The following is a 25,331-nucleotide window of genomic DNA, read 5'->3' as shown; positions in this document are numbered from 1 at the left end:
GGGAGGCTGAGGCAGGAGAATGGCATGAACCCGGAAGGTGGAGTGTGCAGTGAGCTGAGATCACACCACTGTGCTCCAGCCTGGGTGACAAAGCAAGACTCCGTCTCAAAAAAAAACAAAAAAAGAGTCTATTAGCTAGGTGTGGTGGCATATGCCTGTAGACCCACCTACTTGGGAGGCTGAGGCAGGAAAGTCACTTGAGCCCAGGAGTTCGAGGCTACAGTAAGCTTGGCTCATGCCACATCGCACTCCAGCCTGAGCAACAGAGCAAGGCTGTCTCTTAAATAAATAAATAAATAAAAAGTCTAAAGAGATATAACTTTGCAAAGTATGGCTCTTGTTGGATCTGAGTTAGAGAAAATAAAACAGCTATAAAAGCATTTGGGGAACAAATGGGGAAACCTAAATATAGATGAGATCTAAGATGATGTGGAATTTATTTATTTTTTTGAGACAGGGTCTCACTGTGTTGCCTAGGCTGCAGTGCAGTGGTGCGATCACAGCTCACTGCAACCTCTGCCTCCTAGGCTCAGGTGATCTTCCCATCTCAGCCTCCTAAGTAGCTGAAAATACAGGCACACACCACCATGCCTAGCTAATTTTTGTATTTTTAGTAGAGATGGGGTTTCACCATGTTGCCCAGGCTGGTCTTAAACTCCTGGGCTCAAGTGATCCATCCGCCTTGGCCTCCCAAAGTGCTGGGATTACAGGCATGAGCCGCCGTGCCCGGCTGATACGCAATTTTTTAAACAGTTTGATAACGGTGTTGTGGTTTTACAGGAGAATATCCTTGTTCTTAGGAGAAATATGCTGGAATTTGGTGCTGATGTATGATGTCTACAACTTTAAAATGATTCACTTCAAAAAAATCTGCATGTCTGTATGTGGTGTGTATGTGTATGTGTGTATAGAGAAAGGAAGAGACAGAGACAGAGAAAGTAAAGCAAATGTAACAAACATCAGCCATTGCTGAACCTAGGTGGATAGTATATGAGTGGTTAAGATACTATTTTTCAACTTTTTGTACATTTGAAATCTTTCAAATTAAATTGAAAATGAAATTTCTAAGGAAATATTTGGTCATTAAAAAGCTTATCCCTTGGCCAGGCGCAAAGGCTCATGCCTGTAATCCCAGCACTTTGGGAGGCCAAGGCAGGCAGATTACTTGAGGTCAGGAGTTTGGGTCCAACCTGGCCAACATGGCGAAATCCCATCACTACTAATAATACAAAAATTAGCCGGGCATGGTGGCGTGTGCCTGTAATCCCAGCTACTTGGGAGGCTGAGGCATGAGAATTGCTTGAACACAGAAGGCAGAGGTTGCAGTGAGCCAAGATTGTGCCACTGCACTCTAGCCTGGGCAACAGAGTGAAACTGTGTCTCAAAAAAAATAAAAAAAATTAAAAACTTACCCCTGGCCTGGTGCAGTGGCTCACACCTGTAATCCCAGCACTTTGGGAGGCCAAGACGGACGGATCACTTGAGGTCAGGAGCTCAATACCAGCCTGGCCAATATGGTGAAACCCCATCTAAAAAAAAGAAAAAAACTTACTCCTGGCAAAACATAAGCTCTTTCATTCCTAATCAATCCTGTTATTGTAAAGAAGAAAGATATATTCCCTAAGTGACTCCTATTTCCTCATACAGAGGGGAAACTAAGCTCTTCCCTTCCAGGAAAGGCTCTCTGCAGATATTCTGAAGCCACAAGAGGGGAAAATTCCCCAGCAAATATACTCTCTTTCTTGTATTGACGTGATTTCAGAGCATCAAAAATAAAAACGAATAACATGAGGGATTTACAGTGTTCAGGAATTAATCCATACCCTTCCAATCCAGCCTTAACAGGGTACTCATCTGATCCCATGCCCTCATCAAGGTGACAGCTGCCTTCTCGGACTGTCTGGTCCCTGGTTCCTGATTTCCCTTCAGAAGAGAGGTCAGTGCATCTCAAACAGAGAGCAAAAATGGCAGATGAGCTTCCAAACTGACATTGTTACCAAGAGTTCCATGGAAGATAAAATAGATAATGTGATCCTGAGCACAGAACAAAGAATATTGAAATATGGAGAAGAGAAAGAAGATGGGTAGGTAGTTTATTTGGAACATCCAAAAAATCTTTCAAAGCAGACAATGATTTATGCCAAGTTCCACAAGCAGAGCCTAGAAATACTGACTAGCTAGTTAAACGGGAATGGAAGACAGCGTGAAAAAGGACAGAGAGGTCCTCAGCAACGCCAAATTCCCAGCCTTGAGAATGGGCATCCCAATTTCTACCTGTCAAACTTGCCAAAAGATACTAAAAAAGCAAGCCAATATGAAGAAAATGAAGTTACACTTTGAGGTACCTTTGCAAAAATTCACACCTCCATATAGCCTTCCATGCTGCCAACAATACACCAAAATATCAATCACCTTGTTTCTGGAAACCATTCAGAGTGAAAGCACAACATTTTTACAGCTTAATTACTTGGTGGTTAATTGCTTTAATTCATAATTTCATGAAGCTAATATGGTCTGAACCATAAATTCTCTAAATAAGATGAGAAAAACCACAATTTAAAAATTGTATACAGAATTATTGTACAATACAAAAACCCAAAGAAGATGAAAGCTATATTTGAACAAGTATGTATTTAGCATTTTCTTTCTTTTTTTTTTTTTTTTTTTTGAGATAGAGTCTAACTCTGTTGACCAGACTGGAGTGCAGTGGCACAAACTCAGCTCACTGCAACCTCCACTGCCCGGGTTCAAGCAAATCTCTGCCTCAGCCTCCCGAGTAGCTGGGGCTACAGGCGTGCACCACCACACTTGGCTAATTTTTGTATTTTTGGTAGAGACGAGGTTTCATCATCTTGGCCAGGCTGGTCTCGAACTCCTGATCTCATGATCCACCGGACTCGGCCTCCCAAAGTGCTGGGATTACAGGCATGAGCCACCGTGCCCAGCGTATTTACCATTTTCAAATTGATTTAAATAGTAACTTCCATAAGAAGATTAGAATTGCCCTGCTGGCTACTTTCTCTGATAAAAAAAATTTTTTCATTATTTTTAAGACAACATATGCTTTGTAAACACTATCTGAATATTAAAAGCCATGTGAAAAAGGCATGTACAAAATGATAATATTTTCGTTCATTCATCTACCTATCCATTCAACAAAATGTATTTAGCATTAGCTATGTCCCAGCATCATGCCAGGTGGTAAGGGTACAGACATAAATAAGGTCCCTCAAGGAGCTCAGCCTAGTTGGGGCAACCAACCTGTAAGAAAATAGTACCATCAAGCTTTAAGGATATTTTGAGAGATAATGATTATTTCACTTTGAGTCACAAGGAGAGGCACTGGTGGAGATAGGAAGACATCACAGGGGATGTGATGCTTGGGTCAAGTATAAGCAGATGTTCAGCAGGCAGTGGAAAAGGAGGAAAAGACTTTCTAGGCAGAGGGAGCAGCACACGCAAAGATGTGGGAGTGGGAAAGTGCACAGCACATCCAGATACCTGGGAGTGGTTCAGTGTAGCTTTGGTGACAGAGTGAGGGAGGCACTTTTTAATGAGACCAGAATAGAGGAGAGGATGTCTGGGTGAAAAGATCATGTGTTCAGTTTTGGATGTGATGCCTGAGGGCCTCTAGGAGGTGTTGCCAGCAGGCATTTTCAGCACTGTCTATAGACTTGGGTAAGAGAGAAGCTCCCTTAGCCTCCTTTTAGAGGACTCTGTTCTGTCCTTCCTCCAGGTGTACTCCACACACAGGCCAAGGGGACTTCCTCACGCAGAGCCCACACACTCCTACCCCTTCTAGACTATACCAGGTCCCCAGGACCACAGAATTCCTTGTTCAAACAGCCCAGAGCCTGCTTCCAGGGCCTGTGGAGTAGGTGTAGTGTGGAGAGTGGACCTGAGGATGATGTTGACAATGGAGATGGTAATGATGATGTCTCTGTTCCTTTGTGTTTCTTTTCTCTTTCTCCACCTTTGCCCAAACTTCTACAGATCACATTCTCTAGGAAGCTCCCTACTTACCCATTAGCTTGTCACCATGTGCTTCCATGGTCTCCCACGTTCATCTTTAGCACAGCACCTTTCTAGCACCTCATAGGCTACTGGTATTTATAGAATGAGTGGTCATGGTTTCCAGAGTGACCCACCAACCACCCTGGTTTGCTTGGAACTGTCTGGTTTTAGCACTGAAAGTCTAGCATTCCAGGAAAACCTCCAGTCCTAGGCAAATCCAGGAGATTGATCACCCTTAAACTGACATCTGAAATTTTTTGAGTGAGCAAATAAATGATTGTTAATATCAAAGCTGAAGGCACCCAATTTTTCCTGTGTGTATGTGAGCAGAAACCCATTCAAGGTATCTGGGGGATTCATTTCCTTCTCTGTACTCTTCAACTCCCATCTCAGCAAAACATGACCTGGCTGGATTCCTGACCCAGCTCCGTTTTTTCCCATAATCTTGGAGGAAGGATAGTTTAACTTTCTGAACCAGGGCTCTTTATCTGAACCACAGAACAAGAAATTGATTTCAGTACTATTCTCTCAAGGCTGGTACATAACTAGTACCATTCTAGATGCATAGAAGTTGATTCAATACATAATTCAATGCCTTAGGATATTTAGGATTTATTTCTTTTATCTGTTGAGAAACACATAGGCCTTAAAATCAAGAATGCTACTGGGGGCCAGACACAGTGGTTTATGCCTCTAATCCCAGAAGTTTGGGAGGCTGAGGAGAGAGGACCTCTTGAAGCCAGGAGTTTAAGACCATCCTGGGAAACAAAGCAAGATTCTGTCTCTACAAAAAATTTTAAAAATTAGCTGGGCGCACTTTGGGAGGCCGAGGTGGGCAGATCACGAGGTCAGGAGATCGAGACCATCCTGGCTAACATGGTGAAACCCTGTCTCTACTAAAACATACAAAAAATTAGCCGGGTGTGGTGGTGGGCACCTGTAGTCCCAGCTACTCGGGAGGCTGAGGCAGGAGAATGGTGTGAACCCAGGAGGCAGAGCTTGCAGTGAGCTAAGATTGTGCCACTGCACTCCAGCCTGGGTGACAGAGCGAGACTCTGTCTCAAAAAAAAAAAAAAAAAAAAAAAAATTAGCTGGGCGCAGCGGTTTGTGCCTGCAGTTCCAGCTACTTAGGAAGCTGAGGCGGGAGGATAACTTGAGCCCAAGAGTGCGGCTATAGCAAGCTATGATTACGCCACTGTACTCCAGCCTGGGTGACGATGAGACCCTGTCTTAAAAAAAAAAAAAGCTACTGTGATTGTCCCTTTGCCCTTCACCTTGGTCATTAGCACAGATGGCTGGAGGAGGGAAGCTATGGGAAGGAAGTGTCAAAGGATAGGGCTTGTGTTATCTCTGACCTGCAAATTGAGGAAGAGGTGTGGAGAGGAAGTACATTCTCACTTTCCCAACATGGGCAAAGGCAGAGAGCTGTAAGGTTTTACCAGTCAGGACAGGAAAATTCAAGGACAACCACCTTCTTGGCCTTGGCATGTTGGTCATCACCAACCTTCTCAGTGGCAATTGCCAAAGTCAGGCAGCACTGTATGTCATGTTGTGGAAGACAAATGCTCTATAAATAAATTGACTTGAAACAGTCTCAAATACACATAAACCACAATGGCTTTAAATGTAACTCTTGACTTTTTTCTCATTTTCTTTCTCTTCTAAGAGAGGTCAGCAAGGAAAGTTCTGCAAGAGAGGCTTTACGGAAATCCAACCTAAGAAACCTGGGAGGACTTTTATGTATCTGTTTTAACAAACATATTTCACACCTAAATATTTGTTTAAAAGCTCCTGGAGGCTTTAAACTCCAGAGATGGATACATACATCTCTGAGCATGCACCTGTATTTCAGACTTAACGATGCACTTGTTATATGCTAGACATCCATCTTTTTAAAAATTCATTTTCTAGAGGAGGTGATTATTCATTTTGTCATTCAATTTCCCATCATTAAAAATTTCATGCAGTAAAATCACTGCATACTAATGGGGTACTGTGTAAAGAGAGTATTTTTAGTGACTAAGTTGAAAGAAAAGATCATTGATGGCTCTTCCATCTGAGGATTTGAGGAGTAATCAGAGACAAATTTCTGAGGAATACCTTGGAAAGACCTGGAAGCTACCAGAATGCAGAGTAATGAAACGGAGGCCTTAGGGCTCCGTTTTCAGCTCAGATTCTGAAGCAGAGGTGTCCGCTTTTAAGTAACATTCTGTCTCGATGGTATTCCATTCACAGGATAAAGTTAATTAAATCTCCTTTCCCCCCACCATCATTACGTCACCACATTAGCGAGGACAATAGAAGCACAGGGTCCTGAGTTTGCACTGACTGGTCATTCATCTGAAAAGAAGGTCACAGGGTTGCCAATGCTAATTGGAAGAGCATTTAATGCCTGGTTTGCATGACTGAAAGAAAGAGGACCCACCTCTGGCCTGGCAAAGAAAAGATTTTTGATGGTGTGAGAAAATGTCTAACTTGGCTAAAGGAGGTTAAATTCCACTGAAGCCTTCCAAGTGGATGCAGGTAGCTGTTAGCATCAGAAATGGTCTTGCTGGGCAGGGCAATGTTCTCTAGGGAGCTGTCTTCAGTAGGCAAGATTTCACCTTGGCTTGCAAAAAATGCTGTTCACTGGGTTTTAAGGGTCTACATGCTTGTGCTTTTTACTGGAAAATTCTCAGACCTTGATATGGCCTGTGATGATTTCTTTTTTTTTTTTTTTCTGAGCTGGATTCTACCAACAATCTTCTTAAGGAACTGCCTTTTGAGATTTAAACCTTATTCCTCTTTAATTTCCCAGCGTCCTCTCTGCCTAACGAGGCTGGCTGTCTACTTTGGGCTTTAGTAATGCCTATCCCCTTGCAACTCCTCCATCATACCACGCAATTACACACCTCCGGGCCTTTGCTGTTACTTACTTCACCCAGAACTTGCTCCCTTCTTTCCTCCCTGCTTTTTCCTAGCCCATTTTATAACATTAGACAATTTAGGAGTTACCTTCTCTAGGAACCCTTTTTGGAACCTCTTATAGAGGACTAAGGTCCTCACCTCTGCATCTCGTAAGCCCTTCTATAGTTACAATTATAATCAAACCGAGTTTACACAGTAGGTGTTCACTATCCACCTGTTAAATATTTCAGGTATGTACGCCTTTGTTTATTTTGGATGGGACCAAGCAGTTAGTTTTTATGTGGTTTTTAAAATATTCATTTAAATCTGTGGAGTTAGAAATCCAAAAGGGCAAATTTCCTATGAAGGGGAAGGCATATTATAGTGACCAATTGTTGGAGTCCTACCCTGTGCCAGGTACTTTAACACTTTGTTAATTCTAATCTTTGCATAATTCTAATTTCCTCAATATTCTTTCGAGATAGGTCTTATTGCCTGTATTTTACAAGTGAGGCTAAAAATTAAATGACTCACCCAAGGTCTTGCACCTGAGAGAGGGACCCAACTAACTCATGCCCAGCTCTGTCCAATCCAGAACCCTTTAACCCCACGATAACAAGGGGCCATTTCGAGATACTAATCCCACTGAAGCTCGGATACTGTGACTTTTGAGTTACTTTTCTTTTCTGGTAAATTACCCTTGGCAAAGAACGCGAAGAGGAAGTATAAACGAAATACCCTTTGAGATTAGCCTGTCAGCTGAACAGCTACATTTGCCCGTGTCCAGATTTACATGGGTTTTGTGAGGGCGTGAAATGAAGAACGTGCGGCTTCCATGAGGCCAAAACACTAGGTTAAAAAGCTGAGTTCAGGGTACGCGTTTATCGGAATCTTTCAGCTTCATTCTTTATCGGCTTAAGGTGTTTTCGTCTACCCCTCAATAAGGGGCGGGAAAGTGGGTGAGTGTGGCAGGGAAGGATACGTGGAAGAGGAAGGTTCTCCAGCCAAGCGCAAAGCAGGCGACTCTGCCGCCTGGCGCAGTTGCCAGGACAGCGCGGCCCGAGCAGCAACGGCAGAAGCCGCACCGCGTCCCGGCGGCGGCTGCGAGTCCCAGTGACGCATTGCAGGTACAAACCAGCCAATCAGAGGCAGGCTCAACGACCAACGGGGGACGCATCGCCGCCACGATGCTCCTCCGCGCCGCAAAGTAGCGCCCCTCAGGGGCCGCTCCACCGGCCTTTTAACGGCTCGCTGGAAATGAAACCCACTTACGTCATCCGTTCGCCCACTTTCCTTGATCTCTTGCCTCATCGACCAAATAACTGTGAAGAAAGGGGTCCCGAGAAGAGTTTGAGGGGAGGGGGTTGGCCGGGACTCGTTTGCGATGTTCCGTTATCTGGATGCGGCGGAGGGATCTGGCGGAGGGAGGTGTTTATGAGGCGCTGGGGGCGGAGGAGGCGAATTAGTCCGAGTGGAGAGAGCGAGCTGAGTGGTTGTGTGGTCGCGTCTCGGAAACCGGTAGCGCTTGCAGCATGGTGAGTGCATCGCTGAGCTGCCGGCGCTGGGCCTGTGGGGGGAAGAGACTGGAGCGAACTGACTAAACAAAGGAAACTCGCCTCCCTTACACCTTCAAGGAGTGGTTTCTGCCAGAGGGATGGCGCGAAAGAGGCCAGGGATGCCGGCGACGGTTGTGTCGCAGGTGCTCCCCCACCCCCATTCTCTTCAGGGGGGCTTCCTCTAGTGAGTTGAGGGCCGGACGCACAGTTCCCGAGGTGGTGAAGCTCCTCGGGGGCTTGGCTGGAGGAGGATGGGTCCGGGATGAGGGACAGCCCAGTGCACGGGAAGGAGAGAAAGTGAAGGAAGGGAGAGAGGGAGCGTAGAGAGCCTTCTGTCGGGCGTCTGGAAAGGTCAAGCAGGGGGCGAATTCAATCCACCCGACCGACGGTTAGTGCGGGCGCCAGGAAGCGCCTTTGTCCGCTTGCGGCCGCCATGCGCCCAGGGGGCGGGAGGAGCGCGCGGGGCCCTGGGGCGAGCGTCGGCGTCGCAGTTAGCCCGCGTCCTCCGCGTGCCGGGATCCAGGGGGCGCGCGGGCGGGCGGGCGGCGCGCTGTGTGGGCCGAGCCCGCGCGGCGCAGGGAGCGGCCGGTGGGGGCGGGGCGGGCGAGCGCCTCGCGGGACCCGGAGCCGCCGCCCCGCTCGGCCCCGCTCGAGCTCCAGCTGCTCTGCTGGCACCTGCAGGACTGCGGAGATCTCCTTGGCGCTGCGGGGCCATTGGCGGGGATGGGCGGGGGAGGGGGGCCTCGACGGTTTCCCATCCCCCTCTGGCAACCCTAATCTTCCTTCTCCATCTGGGCCCTGGGGCGTCTTCCACCACCCAGGCCGGATGCTTTAAAAAAAATTGCTTTTTAAAGTGTCTGTCGTTGAAAGAAATTAGTCTTACCCTTGAAGTCAGGGGCGCGTCCTCGCAATACACATCTTGTTAGGGAAAGTGTTCGGCTCCAGCTAGGGTTCTACAAGGCGTTTCTTGTTCACCGCCGGAGGGAAGCAGGCTCCGGAGTGACTGCCTTCTGAAAGTCGGTCTTGTAACAATTGGATGGATGCCTTTGAAGAGCCCCTGTCCCTATTCTATGCTTGAAAACAGCGTGCAGTCCTAATGTTCAAGAACCACGACCACATAAAAACATTGCTCCCCTTCTGCTGCTTTGAAAACGACCCCTAAATTCCGTGTAGAAGTTGCCAGGTCGTCTTGACGTACACTTCGTTTGTATGATGTTTGTCTGTCAAATACTGTGATGGAAGAGTGTATGCGGGGGAGGAGCAGGGAATTTTTAAAAGCATTTTCCGGTCACCTCAGACTGGGAGATCATGTTCTTTCCTGAAAAAAAAAAAAAAAAACACCTAATGAGGGCGGTGATCTGTGATACTTACTTTGTGGTTCCTCCTGCCAAGTGGTTACAGCGATGGGTGTGTCCAGGAGGCAAGGTGACATCTTAAACAGGAGTTAGGGATCCTTGCCAACTGAAACCTCCAGCCTGTATGGGTGTGGGGAGACGATTTCACCTTAAATAAAACTAGCGTTCATTGACGTTTGATGGATTTGCTTCATCTTGATGCTTCAAATGTTATTCTGAATTTGAATGTGCTGGTTACATTTGCTTTCTTAAAGATGTAGTTACAGGCATATGTAATAAACATTACAAGTTGTGGAGTAAGCTTTTTTTTTTAAATAAACGAAGGGTAAAGTTTTCTTTAATCAGTTTTGATAATTGAATCAGTAATTCGAATAGATTTTTTCTTGGTAGAGTTGGTATCTACGCATTTGTGGTCCCTTGCCCAGTGTTAAGCTTTTGTAGTTACTGTTTGCATCACTGGTGCTTTGGGGGTTTTCTGTTAAATTGACAGCTCTTACTATAAGAGACAAAGTCGAAAAAAAAAATCTTAATAAAAATTGACAGATATCATTATTTGTGACAGATACAGTAAATTTGAAAATTGCCTTCACATAACTTTATAATTAGAGGACTGAGATTTTACATTAGGAATCCAATTAAAAAAAATTAGCCGGACATAATGGCCTGTGCGTGTAGTCCTGGCTAGTCAATGGGCTGAGGCAGGAGGATCATCTTGGGCCCGGGAGTTGGAGACTGTAGTGAGCTATGATCACACCACTGCACTCCCTGGGCAACAGAGTGAGACCCTGTCTCTCAAAAAATAAAAAAAATTAGGACCCCAAGTTAAAGTATAAAAAATTTTATACGGAAGTAAAGTAAGATTGCTCATGTAACTCTTGAGTTTACATGTAATCAACATATGCTCATTGAAAACGGGATTGCTTCAAGAGGACTTTGAGTGCAGGGTGATTAGGTAAGTAAAAGATGTAAAAAGGTAGAAAATTTTTGTCACTTGAGTCTAAATAATTGTTCTTATAAGTGCCAACGCCTGTTTCTGTTAGGCTCAGAAGATCAAAGGATTTGGCTCTTTTAAAATATAGAAAGCTCTAGCTTCAGCTAGAATTTAGGCCTTTAGTAATAGCCCTAATTTTTATGAAGCCATTTTGTTCCAGTGATCTTTTGGTGAGAGATGCTATGTAAGTACTATTCTTCAGAATTAGGTGTCTTTTTACCCTAATGAAATAATTTAGATTGCTTTTGATACAGGTAAAACAAATATCCTGGCTTCCATAATTGTAGAAAAAACTTCATATAGGAATCCTTGTTGTATCAAAGTAGCACCTGATGGGAATGAACAGACAGGAATGGATGAAGGATAGCAGTTTGCGTTCCATTTCAAGCCTATGGGCTCACACATTTATTCAGATAAGAACACCACCTTTCACTAGATAAACTCCAACAGTATTCATGCATACTTTTGAATGGCATGTAGGAAATGTTTGATAGGTACATAATGTATTCACTTCAGGTCACTAATGTAATACGGGGTCGTGCTCCTTAGTGTTGACAGATCACCTATGGTTCTCCAAAATGAACATTCTAGTACAGGAGGTCTAGGGAGGAACCTGAGAGTATACTAATGCCTAGGAACTTTCTCTGGAGTGGCAAGAGCAGTGGGAAGAATTATGTCAATAGCTACAGAAATAAGGGAGTAAGAACAAGTCATCTCTCTAGTGAATTCTTCTTCACTTTACTGAGATAAACATACATGTTAATGAGCTTGAGTTTTCCCAAAAGTATAATTCTTCTGGTTCTTCTAAGAAAATGGCACTCCCTGGAAACAAGGAAGAACCAAATTTATTCGCCTTTGTAGCAGTTGGGAAAGTTAGTGCTAGGAAGTCTTCTTGATTTATAGTAGGCTTTAATCTGGATATTGCTGGTAAAAGTTTATTCTAAAACCTGAACTCTGGATAAGTAATACAAAAAGCTTCTCAACCTTCCAAGCAAAATTGAGAGCTTTCAGGTTATGTGAGTAATTTGGTCTCTTGGGTGCTTAATTCATTCCTTGAAGCTCATTTTTGTGATCTCTTCCAAGATTGCATTTGCTTGGAGGTAGGGAGTTAGACAAGATGGTATGAGGTCCCTAAATTTTGACTTTCCAAGCAAAATTGGACAGTGGTTCCTAAATTGCTAACATCCTCGTTTCTTCCTAAGGCTTCTCATGTTTCATATATAGTAGCCTTCCCAAAGTCCCATTTCCCACCCCCCCCCCCCCCCCAACCCATGTAGAGAGAACGAACCTGTCTCCCTTCCTGTACAGAGTACGGGATCCTTCAACTTTCACACAGGCTGCAGTGTCTGCCACACATTTAGCTCAACTTTTTTTTAGCCTTAAAGTGATGTCCGCTGCATCTGTCGCTGGGTTGCACCTTGTGGATTTAGTTTGCATAAATTTTCTCAGCTTAAACAAAGTTAACATTGAATAGAGTAAGCTTACCATAAAGGGCTTAATAAATGCCATGCATGTCTACATTCGGTGTGGAAATTGAGCTAGTCAGGTTGATATTTAACATTGTAGGTTCTTTGTTAATTTATATGAAATAATGGTTATCATTTAACTCTTTAGGTTAGCTTTGTACATAGCATCTCACTTTGCACAACAACCCTGCAAGGTAAGTATTGTTATTCTTGTGCTACAAATGAAGTTGACTGAGAGGAGGAGTACCACGTCCAAGGTCACACAGCTATTAAATGGCAGGGCTGGGATACTGGCCTGTGACTCAGAACTTGATGCTTTCCCCCCACGCCACGCATGCCAGGTTGCCCTTCCTTTCAGAAATGGTGGAAGTCCTGCAAAATGCAATAAACTGAAGTAATGTAGCTTCTATTAATACAAAGTAAATAACTCAGATTTACTGGATTTTAAACCTTATTCCTTGGGTAAACAATCTGTGACTGACTTCACACCAAATATTTGTTGGCGGAGGATTTGGACTTTAGGGATAAAAGTGGATACATTTTTTATTTTACAAACTCTGTATTTGAACTTAATTATTGGCTCTTCAATTTTACGTTACCAGCTTTTTTTTTTTTTTTTTTTTTTAATGAATTTGATTTACATCATGGTCAAACAAAAATTGTTGAGCAGGGAAAATAAACTGCTTTCTGGATTCCTTCTTGAATTTTCTCATGTGCCCTAGAGAAAATGTGTTCCACATTAAGGTGTTACTTTTTCCAGGGGTGTGTTCATTTAAAAAGAATGAAGCCAGGCAATGTTTATTTTTCTTTTACCTATAAATAAATGAATGGATTAATCATTGTATACTTGACTCCCATGTTGGTAGGGATTTTAGATAGGAGGCTATTTCTTGTCTGTGCTTCTCAATACCCCATAAGCAGTTGCTTCATGGATGTATATACTAATAAGCAGTGAAAGAAAGTGCATGTTCAAAGAATACAACAAGGAGTCTGGATATTTTGCAATCATCTTTATATATTACGGTGCTCTGAATTAAAAGCTAAAAGTTACTGGGTATGTCTGACACCTTAGTGCTTTATCTTTGTTCTACTAATTTTCTGTGCCCCAATCCCACTTAACCCTAGCCTCATTCCTTATCTGTAAGATAGGGGATAATACCACTGTAAGGTTATTATTAAGATTGAATAAGGATAAAATTTATAATGGGTTTTAGCAAATGGCAGAAAATATTTTCTGAAGAAAACCAAGTGCTATTAAAAAAACATCACAAGCCTTGGGCTTACTTTGGGATTTTAAAAACCAAGAGAAAATGGATGGCTGAACTTTCAAACATTTGGTAAATATTATAGTACTGTAGTTCAGAGCTCTGGATTCTTTGCATTTTGCCTGCTGGGTGAGAAGGAATAAAAGTTTGTGCCTTTTTTTTTTTTTAATCACTTTAATTTCAAAACAATGTGTTTAACCATTTGTGGGAGTAATTTTCATTTTGTGAGCCTGAAGCATTTTGATTCAGTGGGAATTTCTGGTGATTTATATCTGGAATAGAAGTGAGCTTAAGTTTAGCTATTCTAACGTTGAAAAAGGAAGCAATGTTTCTATTGGATTCTAAAGTATATTTTCAAAAATATTCTGAAGTATTTGTATATCTTAAACTTGGAGTTAAGACAGCTTAGCTTTGAAGATAAGAGAAACTAGATGTGTGCATTTTCTATCCAGATGTGTTTGTTGCTGGAACTAAATGAAACAGTACATGGTAACCCTTGAAAGGTTTTAAACTTGTTTCTGTAACTGCTAATCTACATACTCTCAAGTCACTAACCTTCCTCTTTGATCTCTTTGTAGGCTGACCAACTGACTGAAGAGCAGATTGCAGGTGAGAAATACTCAGCTAGATTGTACCCATTAGATTCTTATTATAAATTGAATAGCCAACGTCAGAATAAGAGACTTGTATGAAATAATTGACTTTGGTATATGTCATGGATACTAACATATGGGTATAATATAATACAGTAATTCAACCTGCTTTGGCAAGTGGGATTGTAAACTTGCCGATGGAAGATGTGCAGGGCTAATTGTAGTTAAAGACATGTATTTTAGTCTGCGTGGATATACTTTGGAGCCTTGTGGTGTAGTGGTGGTCTTTGTTTTGTTTTCTGAAGACTACCTTAGTATAAAACAGGAATTCTGGGCTAGCTAACACGCTAGAAAAGGAGGCCAAGAAGTAACTAAGGCAACTTGAAATGGAGAATCAAAAAAGGAACAATTGAATTTACCCTAGTTAAAATTAGCTAACATTTTAACCTAAGAATTGCATATATAATCAGTCAGGGAATAACCATTTCTCAAGTGAAAAAATTTAAGAAGTTGGCATTCTATTCTATAAATGTCACTGTAGCAATGTGGATTTTTCTCTTAAAAAACAGTGACAGCTGTTGAAATGAAGCCGCTTAAATCTTGTCCCTTTTAGTTTGCTATGGAAGTATGCAAAATTATTACATAAAACCTGATGTCATGTTCTCTTTATGCCATGCCATAGAACATTAATACTTTTGATTTATCCTTGTACATTGAGATGGCTGGTTAATGTCAATGTTGGGGAAACTTTTTTTTCCCCCCTTGCCGGAGTTGTTTTTTTTTTTTATTGTAGTGTTGAAATGCTTTGCAAACTATTCCTTTGTTTTCATTAGACACTTTTATTAGCATGAGCACCAAGCAGTTTATTTGCCACAGTTTTCACAGTAAGCAGGAAGGGTTTGATAAGAGCTCAAAAGCACTTGAGCACTTTTTCTTAGGCTGGAGAAAACTGAGAAGCCCAGTTGGAACTATATAGCCCATTTAAAGCAAGCTCCCCACTTCCATAAGCATATAGAAGTTTGGGGGATACCAGAATTACACTAGTCACCTCAAATACTATTTGATAGGACTGTAGGTAGAAAGCTATTAGTATTAAAGACAAATTTAAGCAGGTTTTATTTTTATTTATTGTGTAATTTGACTTAAACTTAGTTTTTACTTTCTGAGGTTGGTAAATTACATGTATTGACTGTTATGAACAAAAAGCAAACAGTTTTGGGAATAATTTTTTTTTTGTTGAGTTACACTGTTTTAAAGGTATCACCTATTTGATCTCATGTCTCCTCAAAAAAAATAGACTGGGCCTGATGGCTGGTAATCTTATCACTTTGGGAGGCTGAGGCAGCAGGATCACTTGAGCCCAGGAGTTTGAGACCAGCCTGGGCAACATAGTGAGACCCCATCTCTACAAAGTAAATGTATCGTCAAAATGTTTTTCTGAAGTAGTTTTTTTTATAAATATACTGTCTCCTTCCCAAATTGTCTCAGGCTGTCTAATACTTTCACTCTTAAACTCTGACCTTCTGTAATACATTTCTTAATATTCCCAGTCAGGTACAGGTACCAACTGTATGCAGTACAGCATGTTCACTTTAGGGTAGAAAACGTTACTCAGTGTGCCATTGCATAGTTGATGGTCTGCTCTCTTAAACAACTCTTTGAAAAGAAAGTTTGTTGGCCGGGCGCAGTGGCTCACGCCTGTAATTCCAGCACTTTGGGAGGCCGAGGCGGATCACTTGAGGTCAGGAGTTCATGACCAGCCTGGCCAACGTGGTGAAACCCCATCTCTCCTAAAAATACAAAAATTAGCCAGGCATGGTGGCGTGCACCTGTAATCCCAGCCACTCAGGAGGCTGATGCAGGAGAATCACTTGAACCTGGGAGGCAGAGGTTGCAGTGAGGCAAGATCATGCCACTGCACTCCAGCCTGGGCAACAGAGCGAGACTTTGCCTCAAAAAAAAAAAAGTTTGTGTCTATTGAATATAAGAGGATCCCTCTTCAGTGATTGATAGCATTTTTATTTTTTAATTTATTTTGAGACAGTTTCACTCTTGTTGCCCAGGCTGGAGTGCAGTGGCTCAACTTCTGTCTCCCGGGTTCAAGCTGTTCTGCTTCAGTCTCCCGAGTAGCTGGGATTAGAGGCATGCACCACCTGGCTATTTTTGTATTTTTAGTAGAGATGGGGTTTCTCCATGTTGGTCAGGCTGGTCTCAAACTCGCAACCTCAGGTGATCCACCCGCCTCAGCCTCCTAAAGTGCTGGGATTACAGGTGTGAATCACCATGCCTGGCCTGGTAGAATTCTTATAAAGAATACTTGTAGTTCATCAAAACTGTGACATTCAGGACCTGTTCTCTTTATTGTCTTTAAGTTAAATCCTATCTTTTCTTGGCTTTCATCATAAAATTAGGTTTCCAATGGGAGTAGAGGGAAAAAAATCTGTTCTTAGGTTCTCTTCTTATCCTGCCTTTTCCTAGACCACAGATTTCTTTAAAGCCATTCCTTGGACCTCCAGGTTTCAGTTAAGATTTAGGGCAGAGGAACCAAAACTTCTATGCTACTAAAATAAAAATCATGTGCGGTCAGGGACCTTTTTGTTCTACTTTGTAGGCCCGGTACCTGCCACATAGTAATCATTGAATATTCCTTGAATAAATTTTATTCTCAATGAGTGTGTAACACAAAAAAGTTCTAGAGCACTACTATCCTAAGATTTCTGCCTACTCTCCAAGTCCCTTCCTCCCAAATTTGGTATATTTCAGTGTTTACCTTTGAGATGAAGGCAATTTTTTAATCTGGTAAATTGTAATTGTTGGTGGCTGGGCATGGTGGCGCATGTCTAATCCCAACACTTTGGGAGGCTGAGGCAGTGGGATTGCTTGAGCCCAGGAGTTCAAGACCAGTCTGGGCAACACAGCAAGACCCTGTCTCAAAGAAAAGAAAAAAAAATTTTTTTTTTTTTTTTTTTAGTTGTAAGTGCTGGTGACCGCTAACATCCTTGTGTAGATGAAGTTACTAAATTTTTTTTTTTTTTTTTTTTTTTTTTTTTTTTTTTGAGACGGAGCTTCACTCTCTTGCCCAGGCTGGAGTGCAGTAGCATGATCTTGGCTCACTGCAACCTTTGCTGTCCAACTTCAAGCAATTCTCCTGGCTCAGTCTCCCAAGTAGCTGGGATTACAGGCGTGCACCACCACACCCGGCTAGTTTTTGTATTTTTAGGAGAGATGGGGTTTCACCATGTTGGCCAGGCTGGTCTTGAACTGCTGACGTCAGGTGATCCGCTTACCTTGACCTCCCAAAGTGTTGGGATTACAGGCATGAGCCACTGCTCCCGGCCTAAAATTTTTTATATTACTTGGTCGTATAAAGCATTCCAGTCTAGTATGACATCACTAACAATTTCATTTTGTTGATAACTCTGCCATGATGTCATTAGTTGTTGCTGTTTGACTTTTGGAAGACTGATAGGAAAAATGTACAGTATTTTTTCCTTAAGAAGTCTGTACCTAAACTTTCATTAAATTTTCAAGGTCCAAATTTGTTTGAGAAAAATATTAATATTACTCAATGTATAGCAACAACTGCATGAAGCGCCAAAAGAGTTCCAGTACATGATCTTTAAGGGATTATTAAGTTCAGAATTTTGTGAAGAAATAGAAGTTAATAAACAGTCATTTGATTTGTTTTGTAATTGTCTTGTGATAACCTATTTTAATAAAATTTTTAAAACATGTTATTTTAATAAAATTATATGTTTAGGTAATAAACTAATTAGGGAAGGGCCTTGGGGTTGCTAATGAACAAATAAAACTTGAGTAATAGATTTTTCTGAAAGTTTCAGTTTGGTCAGCTAAAATGGATTTTGGTAGGTTCCTTATATCTATCAATTATGTAGAAGATAGCTGTTCTGTGGCATTCAGGACCTGTTCTCTTTATTGTGTGTTTAGGTTTTGACTCTTGGATTTAATTTCAGGTCATTCCTGGGAGTTACAGTTTAGAATTATATGCTTCTATACATAAAGATTACGCTAGTTCTGAAGTACAGGAAAACTGTAAAGGCAGGTGAATTAAAATTTTACTTTGGGGTTTATTATTTTGAGTTTTTACAGGTATTTTTTACTCTTTAGTATAAAAATACAAGTAAAAATTTGGAATAAACCTTGACCTTTAAAAGAAATGTTATTTGTTCCTTTCTTGAATGAATAACAAATGGTATTAGCATAGATACGGTTTTATTTTCTGCATTTTACTTATTCTAGCAAACATTTTAAGTGTTATTAGATTTTTAAATTTCTCGAAAGTTATACATAGTCTTACACTATGCATCTTCCAGTATTTAGCTTTTTGTTAAATCATGTAATAGAAAGGTGATTACTGCTAATTAAACATTGGGAATTTATGCACCTAATGGTGGTGTTAAAAGATACCCATAGCAGAGAATGTAATATAAACAAATACCTCAAAGTCCTTTAATTTTCTTGTAACCTAAATTAGGTGAAAGGTGCAATGTGTCTGAACTCCAATATATGTATTTCTAGATATTTCTACATTCTGTTTAAAAACAGTAAAATTGAAATGTCTTTATCAATTGTGCTATTTGTAGGTGGAGACTCCCTGATCTATTTTTGTCATTAGGTTGATCTAGGTTAGCACTGTATACTATCTTCATAAAATCAATTAGTGTGGTATGAACCTTCTGATTGGTATTAGATGAGTTCCTCTATAAACCAGTAATATTTAAATAAGAAAGAATGCAGTTAGGAGGCAATTGTAATAGCCCTGGCAAAGGACGATGGAGCCTTGAACCAAAATACTGGTTGTAGAGATGGAGGAAAAATCAGGCAGTATTTAAATGATAGAATTCGAGACCTGTTGACAGATTTCAGACTGAAAGAGTTAAAAGTGGCTCTTGGGCTTTTGCTAGTACCTTTAGGGTTGCCTGGGAGTATAGAATTCATTTTCATATGTTTTGCTTGTCATCAGCCAGGGGAGCTATATCCTGTAGACAGCCAGAAATAAAGACATTTATTGAGCGAGATGGGTAGACTAAAGATATCTTCGTTGTAAGTGGGTATAGATGAAGTGGCCAAGGAGTGGAAAAAAAGGATAAAATTGGTCACATCTAGACATAAGAGACAGGAGTAAGAGCCTTTGGCAGTATATGGTAGGAGGAAAATCAAAGTACTGTTACGAAGGCCAAGAAAAATTTTGAGAGTTTTTCCATGCAGTTTTGGATGCTGCAAAAAAATGAGATAGTCTTTATCTTGACATTTATTAAGTATGTATTTGTTGGACATAGTTCTAAGTGTTTGACACATACTAATTTTTTTATGGGGGGTGACCAGGTGAATACCCCTTGTGGGCATGGTATACTGTGTCACCCCACTTACTGGGCACATTTATGTCATTTCACAGAAATGAGGAAGCTGAGGCAGAAAAGGTTTAGTAGCTTGTCCATATTGCATTGCCAGAAGAAGAAACAGAGCTAGGAAATTCTAACCCAGTAGTCAAGTTACAAAGTCTCATTTTAGTTTCTATGCCATATGGCTTCACATTGAAGCATGCTTGATGGATTGGGTGACTGACTAGTAGTCATTGGTAAACTCAGCATTTTCAGGTGATGAGTTGGAGCTGGATGTCATTTTAAAATAGTGGATTGTTTGGAGAGAGGAAATTGGTATGAGTAGTAGTGCCTTCCAAAATTTGGGGAGGGATAAGGGCAAGCATTTAAAATATAACTAAGGTTTCAATTTAGTTTTAGGCTAAGCGATGTGAAGATATTTATGTGGTAATGGGCAAATTAGTGGAAGAATAGTTGAGTCCAGGGAAGAGGTAATACGGAATGAAACTGGAAGGTGTACGCGAATTGGAGTTAGGGATAAGCAGGCAGGGAATAAATTGGCCTTGGACCGTAAAGAAGGTACACCATTTCTTACACATGTGTCACATAAATTTTCAAATGTATGGCTATGTTGGGAAAGCTTAATGGCCCAATGAACTTGGAAACTTTTTGTATTCATTTGCTGATAGGGTCTAATATTTTCTGGGAAATGACTTACTTGGAAAATACTAGCTTTATTATTTACTGATTGGTATAACTTTGCAGTATCAAAGTTAGTCTGTTTTAGTTTCTTTCTTTCTTTTTTTTTTTTTGAGACAAGTCTCACTCTGTTGCCCAAGCTGGAGTGCAGTGGTGTGATCTCGGCTCACTGCAACCTCCGCCTCTCGGGTTCAAGCAGTTCTGCTGCTGCAGCCTCCCCAGTAGCTGGGACTACAGGCGCACGCCGCCACACCCAGCTTGTGTGTGTGTTTGTGTTTTAATAGAGACGGGGGACTACAGGCCCACGCTGCCACACCCAGCGTGTGTGTGTGTGTGTGTGTGTGTGTGTGTGTGTGTGTGTTTTAGTAGAGACGGGGGACTACAGGCACACGCCGCCACACCCAGCTTGTGTGTGTGTGTGTTTTAGTAGAGACGGGGTTTCTTTTCTTTTTCTTCTTTTTTTTTTTTTTTGAGACGGAGTCTCGCTCTGTCGCCCAGGCTGGAGTGCAGTGGCGCAATATCAGCTCACTGCAAGCTCTGCCTCCCAGGTTCACGCCATTCTCCTGCCTCAGCCTCCCGAGTAGCTGGGACTATAGGCGCCCGCCACCACGCCCGGCTAATTTTTTTGTATTTTTAGTAGAGATGGGGTTTCACCGTGTTAGCCAGGATGGTCTCGATCTCCTGACCTCATGATCCACCCGCCTCAGCCTCCCAAAGTGCTGGGATTACAGGCTTGAGCCACCGCGCCCGGCCTGAGACGGGGTTTCACCCTGTTGTTCAGGCTGGTCTGGAACTCACCCTGAGCTCAGGCAGTCTGCCCACCTTGGCCTCCCAAAGTGCTAGGATTACAGGTGTGAGCCACTGCACCTGGCTTGTTTTAGTTTATCTGTAAATGGTGAATGAAGCCAGGTAGTCTGGAGTGTTGCACCAGCAGGAGGTTTCCATGTAATCTAGTGATGTATTAGAAGGAACATATAGCCGGGCACAGTGGCTCATGCCCTGTAATCCCAGCACTTTGGGAGGCAGAGACAGGCGGATCACCTGAGGTTGGGAGTTCGAGGCCAGCCTGACCAACGTGGAGAAACCCCATCTCTACTAAAAATAGAAAATTAGCTGGGCGTGGTGGTGCATGCCTGTAATTCCAGCTACTCGGGAGGCTGAGGCAGGAGAATTGCTTGATCCTGGGAGGAGGAGGTTGCGGTGGGCTGAGATTGCACCATTGCACTCCAGCCTGGACAACAAGAGCGAAAGTCCATCTCAAAAAAAAAAACAACAGCAGGAAGGAACATACTATCACAACAAGATGTTGAGGAATAATCAGTTTCACTATATAAGGTTGGGGTTTTAATATTCCAAAGAAAGCTCAAAATGATCTTTGTTCTCAGTGACATGCATTTAGCTAAAACTGGACATTTATATCTTGATCAGCCCATTGTTATAGACTCTTTATATAGTCCCTTCTCCTGCCTTACTAGAAAGGGAAAGTAGCCTGTTTTAATTTAGTAGGTGATTGATTTAGACATAGTGGCTAACTCTAAACACAGTATACAGAAACAGTTTAATTACTCTGTAGAAATACGTATTTGGGTACCAGTAGTCTTATTTTTGTTTTGTGAGTGTAGGTTAGGTCTGTAATTTTGAATTATGTTCCACAGAGCAGCTTCAGTGACAGAGGAGCCAGTCATTTGGGGATTTGGTTCTTTTCCTCTGTAAACCTAGGATAATTTTACTTAGGTCAGCATGAAAGTACAGTGGTATGATTGGTCAAAGATATATTTGAAATATTATCATAAGGTATCATAAAGATTGGTTAATCTTTAGGAGTCAAAGTCACATTTCAATTGCTACCTCCATTGGTATTTTTCCGTTAAAAGTTTTTGGGTTTTTCTGAGACGTGGGGTCTTACAGTTTGGCCAGGCTGAAGTGCAGTGGCTGTTCACTGGCACGATCCCACCACTGAGTAGGCTTTAAGAGTTAATACGTTTCATTTAGGTTACATTTTATTATTAATCTGTGTATTTGGATTGTGGTCTTTCTTTCAAACAGAATTCAAAGAAGCTTTTTCACTATTTGACAAAGATGGTGATGGAACTATAACAACAAAGGAATTGGGAACTGTAATGAGATCTCTTGGGCAGAATCCCACAGAAGCAGAGTTACAGGACATGATTAATGAAGTAGATGCTGATGGTAAGTCTTCAATTTTGTGGGGCTGGGAGGGGTTGAAGAAGTGATACTTAGATGTTTCCACTAAACCTTTGCTGTTTGCTTATATGTTTCCACTAAAGCTTTGATGTTTCCACTAAACCATTTCAGGTAATGGCACAATTGACTTCCCTGAATTTCTGACAATGATGGCAAGAAAAATGAAAGACACAGACAGTGAAGAAGAAATTAGAGAAGCATTCCGTGTGTTTGATAAGGTACGTCAAGGACTGGATATGTTAAATTTTGAGGATGAAATGAAGATACCAGGACTCATTATGAAGACTTGTGTTTTTTTGGTTGTTTTTTTTTTTTTTTTTTTTTTTTTTTTTGATGATTTACCAACATATTTTAATTACCAAGCAAAAGCTTTTTAAGAATTCAGTATAGACTTTCTAATATATGTATTGCGTTCATCTTGTCAAAGGAGGTGTCACTTGACTTTGGGACTAGGAAATAATGATTTCAATGTAGGACATTTTGCTTGGCTCTTAATGACATTTGTAGGTCAACTGTGTAGATTTGTATGCATTTCTAAAGTATGTTTTTCCCCCAATGTGAAATTTAGTAGTAAACTTAATAAATTTCCATTCCAACTCTCAAGTCTGTAATTTGACTCAGAAACTATACTAAATTTTTTGCTAGGATGGCAATGGCTATATTAGTGCTGCAGAACTTCGCCATGTGATGACAAACCTTGGAGAGAAGTTAACAGATGAAGAAGTTGATGAAATGATCAGGGAAGCAGATATTGATGGTGATGGTCAAGTAAACTATGAAGGTAAATGTTTCAGTCTCACGCCTCATTCTTCACTTTGATTTTTAAGATAAGAGGCTCTTTGTTAGGGAACTGATCGAAATTAGTGACCCTTCCCCTGAAATTAGGTTGCTAAAACAGTTACTTACATTTAACCTTCTTAAAATTCAGAGTGTTGTCTGCAGACTAGGTAACATTGCTCTGACTTGAGAACTTAATTTAGAAATATTTACTATCAGGTTCTATCCCTACACCTGGAATCAGCATTTTAATAGGATTCTTGGGTGATTCATGTATAAAGTTTGAGAAGCACTGTTCAGTGTTTGTGTGATTGTGGAACAATGTGGAAAGCAAACTTATTCCAAGTTTCCTAAAATGAAATTAATGTGACTTTCTTTCCCCGCACTGTATTGTCTTTTTTCTTTAATTGGCTTTAGTCTGAAACTGAAGTTTACATGTGCTTCAAAAGTATCGTATCTACTAACTTTTAAGATGGCCATATCAGGAAGCAAGGCATATGAAACTGAAGGATTTTGAGTAAAACTCTGTATTTTTTTCATGATGTAACTACTTAACTTAGAAAAGAGCATAAAATGTAATGTTATAAAAATTAAACCTAGCCCATAGCATTGAATTTACAATATTGTCTTGTAATCCAGCAGACTTAAAATTCAAGTCTAAACTAAGAGCCAAGAATGCTCTTTTTTATATTGGCCTATCTAAAGCGTTAATTTGGCTCTTACTAATAAACCTGAATAGTTATGGTTAATGAAGTTCCAGCCTGGGCAATAAACTAGCTTCCCTCTGTACTTAATGGTAATTCTGAGGAAAGAGAGGAATGGAAAGAGTACTCAGTAATTGAGTAAATGTGATTTTTTTTTTTTTTTTTTTTTTTTGGTCTTTTGCTATTGACTCATTTTTTGTGTACTTCTTCTTTTTCAGAGTTTGTACAAATGATGACAGCAAAGTGAAGACCTTGTACAGAATGTGTTAAATTTCTTGTACAAAATTGTTTATTTGCCTTTTCTTTGTTTGTAACTTATCTGTAAAAGGTTTCTCCCTACTGTCAAAAAAATATGCATGTATAGTAATTAGGACTTCATTCCTCCATGTTTTCTTCCCTTATCTTACTGTCATTGTCCTAAAACCTTATTTTAGAAAATTGATCAAGTAACATGTTGCATGTGGCTTACTCTGGATATATCTAAGCCCTTCTGCACATCTAAACTTAGATGGAGTTGGTCAAATGAGGGAACATCTGGGTTATGCCTTTTTTAAAGTAGTTTTCTTTAGGAACTGTCAGCATGTTGTTGTTGAAGTGTGGAGTTGTAACTCTGCGTGGACTATGGACAGTCAACAATATGTACTTAAAAGTTGCACTATTGCAAAACGGGTGTATTATCCAGGTACTCGTACACTATTTTTTTGTACTGCTGGTCCTGTACCAGAAACATTTTCTTTTATTGTTACTTGCTTTTTAAACTTTGTTTAGCCACTTAAAATCTGCTTATGGCACAATTTGCCTCAAAATCCATTCCAAGTTGTATATTTGTTTTCCAATAAAAAAATTACAATTTACCCAATGGTTGCTCTGCATCTGAGTCATTTAACTGTTGAAGTCTAATAATTTTGAAAATAAAATATGGCATTGGTTTCTGCTTGGTATAGTCTAGATAATTTTTTCTCGTGTGGGGAAGCATATGGAGATGGGTGGCAGAAATAGTGAAGGTGGGAAAGGAAGGAGAAAAGGATTGGAAAAGTGAGAAAAGAGGGAGAGAAGCACAGAAAATAAGAGGAACAAAATAAGGGGTGTAACTAAGGAGAGATTGAAGAGGAAGGCCGAAAAGATGGGGATCTATGGGGGCTGGCTTAGTGTAGTCACCTTTTGGGGGCCACCATCATGCGTGCCCACAACATTCCTCCACCACCATGTGTGTCGTACTGTGCTACTGTGTTAGATCCAGGATACCTGTGAGTTGCCTCTGCCCACAGAACAAGATGGTGGCAGTCATGGGAAAAGAGGGGCAAGTTTTTTGTTTTGTTTCTTTATCCAGATTGTATTTGACAACTTCAAAAGGCCCCAATGAAAGACTCAAAAACTTAAGTGTACCTAGTATGGGAATTGGCATAAAGTAGGTATTTACTGTTTCCTACCTTTATAGTTTTCAACTTTGGCATTTGTCCATGTTGACTTAAGCTGTG

At 41.1% G+C, this 25,331-nt stretch overlaps 1 protein-coding gene across 4 annotated transcripts, besides 9 other annotated features; it reads left to right on the top strand.

Annotated features, from left to right (window-relative positions):
• Nucleotides 7,933-8,102: an enhancer, noted in NCBI's record as "active region_15725". NCBI's record gives its function as "activates an Ori minimal core promoter by ATAC-STARR-seq in GM12878 lymphoblastoid cells {active_cell/tissue: GM12878}" and the evidence as "EXISTENCE:reporter gene assay evidence [ECO:0000049][PMID:35858748]".
• CALM2 (calmodulin 2) lies at nucleotides 7,940-24,794 on the top strand. Of its 4 annotated transcripts, NM_001305624.1 has the most exons (7): nucleotides 8,253-8,435; nucleotides 12,417-12,462; nucleotides 14,112-14,142; nucleotides 22,214-22,357; nucleotides 22,484-22,590; nucleotides 23,018-23,153; nucleotides 24,072-24,794. In NM_001305624.1, exons 1-7 carry the CDS (start codon nucleotides 8,335-8,337, stop codon nucleotides 24,098-24,100), a joined length of 594 nt encoding a protein of 197 aa, NP_001292553.1. In that variant the 5' UTR covers nucleotides 8,253-8,334; the 3' UTR covers nucleotides 24,101-24,794. The 4 variants fall into 4 exon arrangements, with proteins under 4 accessions (NP_001292554.1, NP_001292553.1, NP_001734.1 ...); NM_001305625.2 differs by lacking the exons at nucleotides 8,253-8,435; nucleotides 12,417-12,462 and adding an exon at nucleotides 7,940-8,027 and having other exon boundaries at nucleotides 24,072-24,792; NM_001743.6 differs by lacking the exon at nucleotides 12,417-12,462 and having other exon boundaries at nucleotides 8,365-8,435; nucleotides 24,072-24,792.
• Nucleotides 8,153-8,272: an enhancer, noted in NCBI's record as "active region_15724". NCBI's record gives its function as "activates an Ori minimal core promoter by ATAC-STARR-seq in GM12878 lymphoblastoid cells {active_cell/tissue: GM12878}" and the evidence as "EXISTENCE:reporter gene assay evidence [ECO:0000049][PMID:35858748]".
• Nucleotides 8,833-9,162: a silencer, noted in NCBI's record as "silent region_11461". NCBI's record gives its function as "represses an Ori minimal core promoter by ATAC-STARR-seq in GM12878 lymphoblastoid cells {active_cell/tissue: GM12878}" and the evidence as "EXISTENCE:reporter gene assay evidence [ECO:0000049][PMID:35858748]".
• Nucleotides 8,833-9,213: a biological region, named in NCBI's record as "ReSE screen-validated silencer GRCh37_chr2:47402802-47402952".
• Nucleotides 9,063-9,213: a silencer, noted in NCBI's record as "fragment chr2:47402802-47402952 (GRCh37/hg19 assembly coordinates)". NCBI's record gives its function as "represses an EF-1alpha promoter that drives an FKBP-Casp9 reporter gene in an ReSE screen in K562 erythroleukemia cells {active_cell/tissue: K562}" and the evidence as "EXISTENCE:reporter gene assay evidence [ECO:0000049][PMID:32094911]".
• Nucleotides 9,237-9,903: an enhancer, noted in NCBI's record as "NANOG-H3K27ac hESC enhancer chr2:47402112-47402778 (GRCh37/hg19 assembly coordinates)". NCBI's record gives its function as "activates a minimal SCP1, AML or CMV promoter by ChIP-STARR-seq in naive H9 embryonic stem cells {active_cell/tissue: H9 hESC(naive)}" and the evidence as "EXISTENCE:reporter gene assay evidence [ECO:0000049][PMID:30033119]".
• Nucleotides 9,237-9,942: a biological region, named in NCBI's record as "NANOG-H3K27ac hESC enhancer GRCh37_chr2:47402112-47402778".
• Nucleotides 9,293-9,342: an enhancer, noted in NCBI's record as "active region_15723". NCBI's record gives its function as "activates an Ori minimal core promoter by ATAC-STARR-seq in GM12878 lymphoblastoid cells {active_cell/tissue: GM12878}" and the evidence as "EXISTENCE:reporter gene assay evidence [ECO:0000049][PMID:35858748]".
• Nucleotides 9,853-9,942: a silencer, noted in NCBI's record as "silent region_11460". NCBI's record gives its function as "represses an Ori minimal core promoter by ATAC-STARR-seq in GM12878 lymphoblastoid cells {active_cell/tissue: GM12878}" and the evidence as "EXISTENCE:reporter gene assay evidence [ECO:0000049][PMID:35858748]".

This window comes from Homo sapiens, chromosome 2 (genome assembly GCF_000001405.40).
Source record: "Homo sapiens chromosome 2, GRCh38.p14 Primary Assembly".
Lineage (NCBI taxonomy): Eukaryota > Metazoa > Chordata > Mammalia > Primates > Hominidae > Homo > Homo sapiens.
This window is presented reverse-complemented; position numbering and strand designations above follow the sequence as displayed.

Coding starts and splice junctions, on each gene's coding strand:
- CALM2 (NM_001305624.1), top strand. CDS start 8,335: ATGAGGCGCTGGGGGCGGAGGAGGCGAATTAGTCCGAGTGGAGAGAGC. Junction 8,436..12,416: donor CCGGTAGCGCTTGCAGCATG/GTGAGTGCATCG, acceptor TTAACTCTTTAG/GTTAGCTTTGTACATAGCAT. Junction 22,358..22,483: donor TAATGAAGTAGATGCTGATG/GTAAGTCTTCAA, acceptor AAACCATTTCAG/GTAATGGCACAATTGACTTC.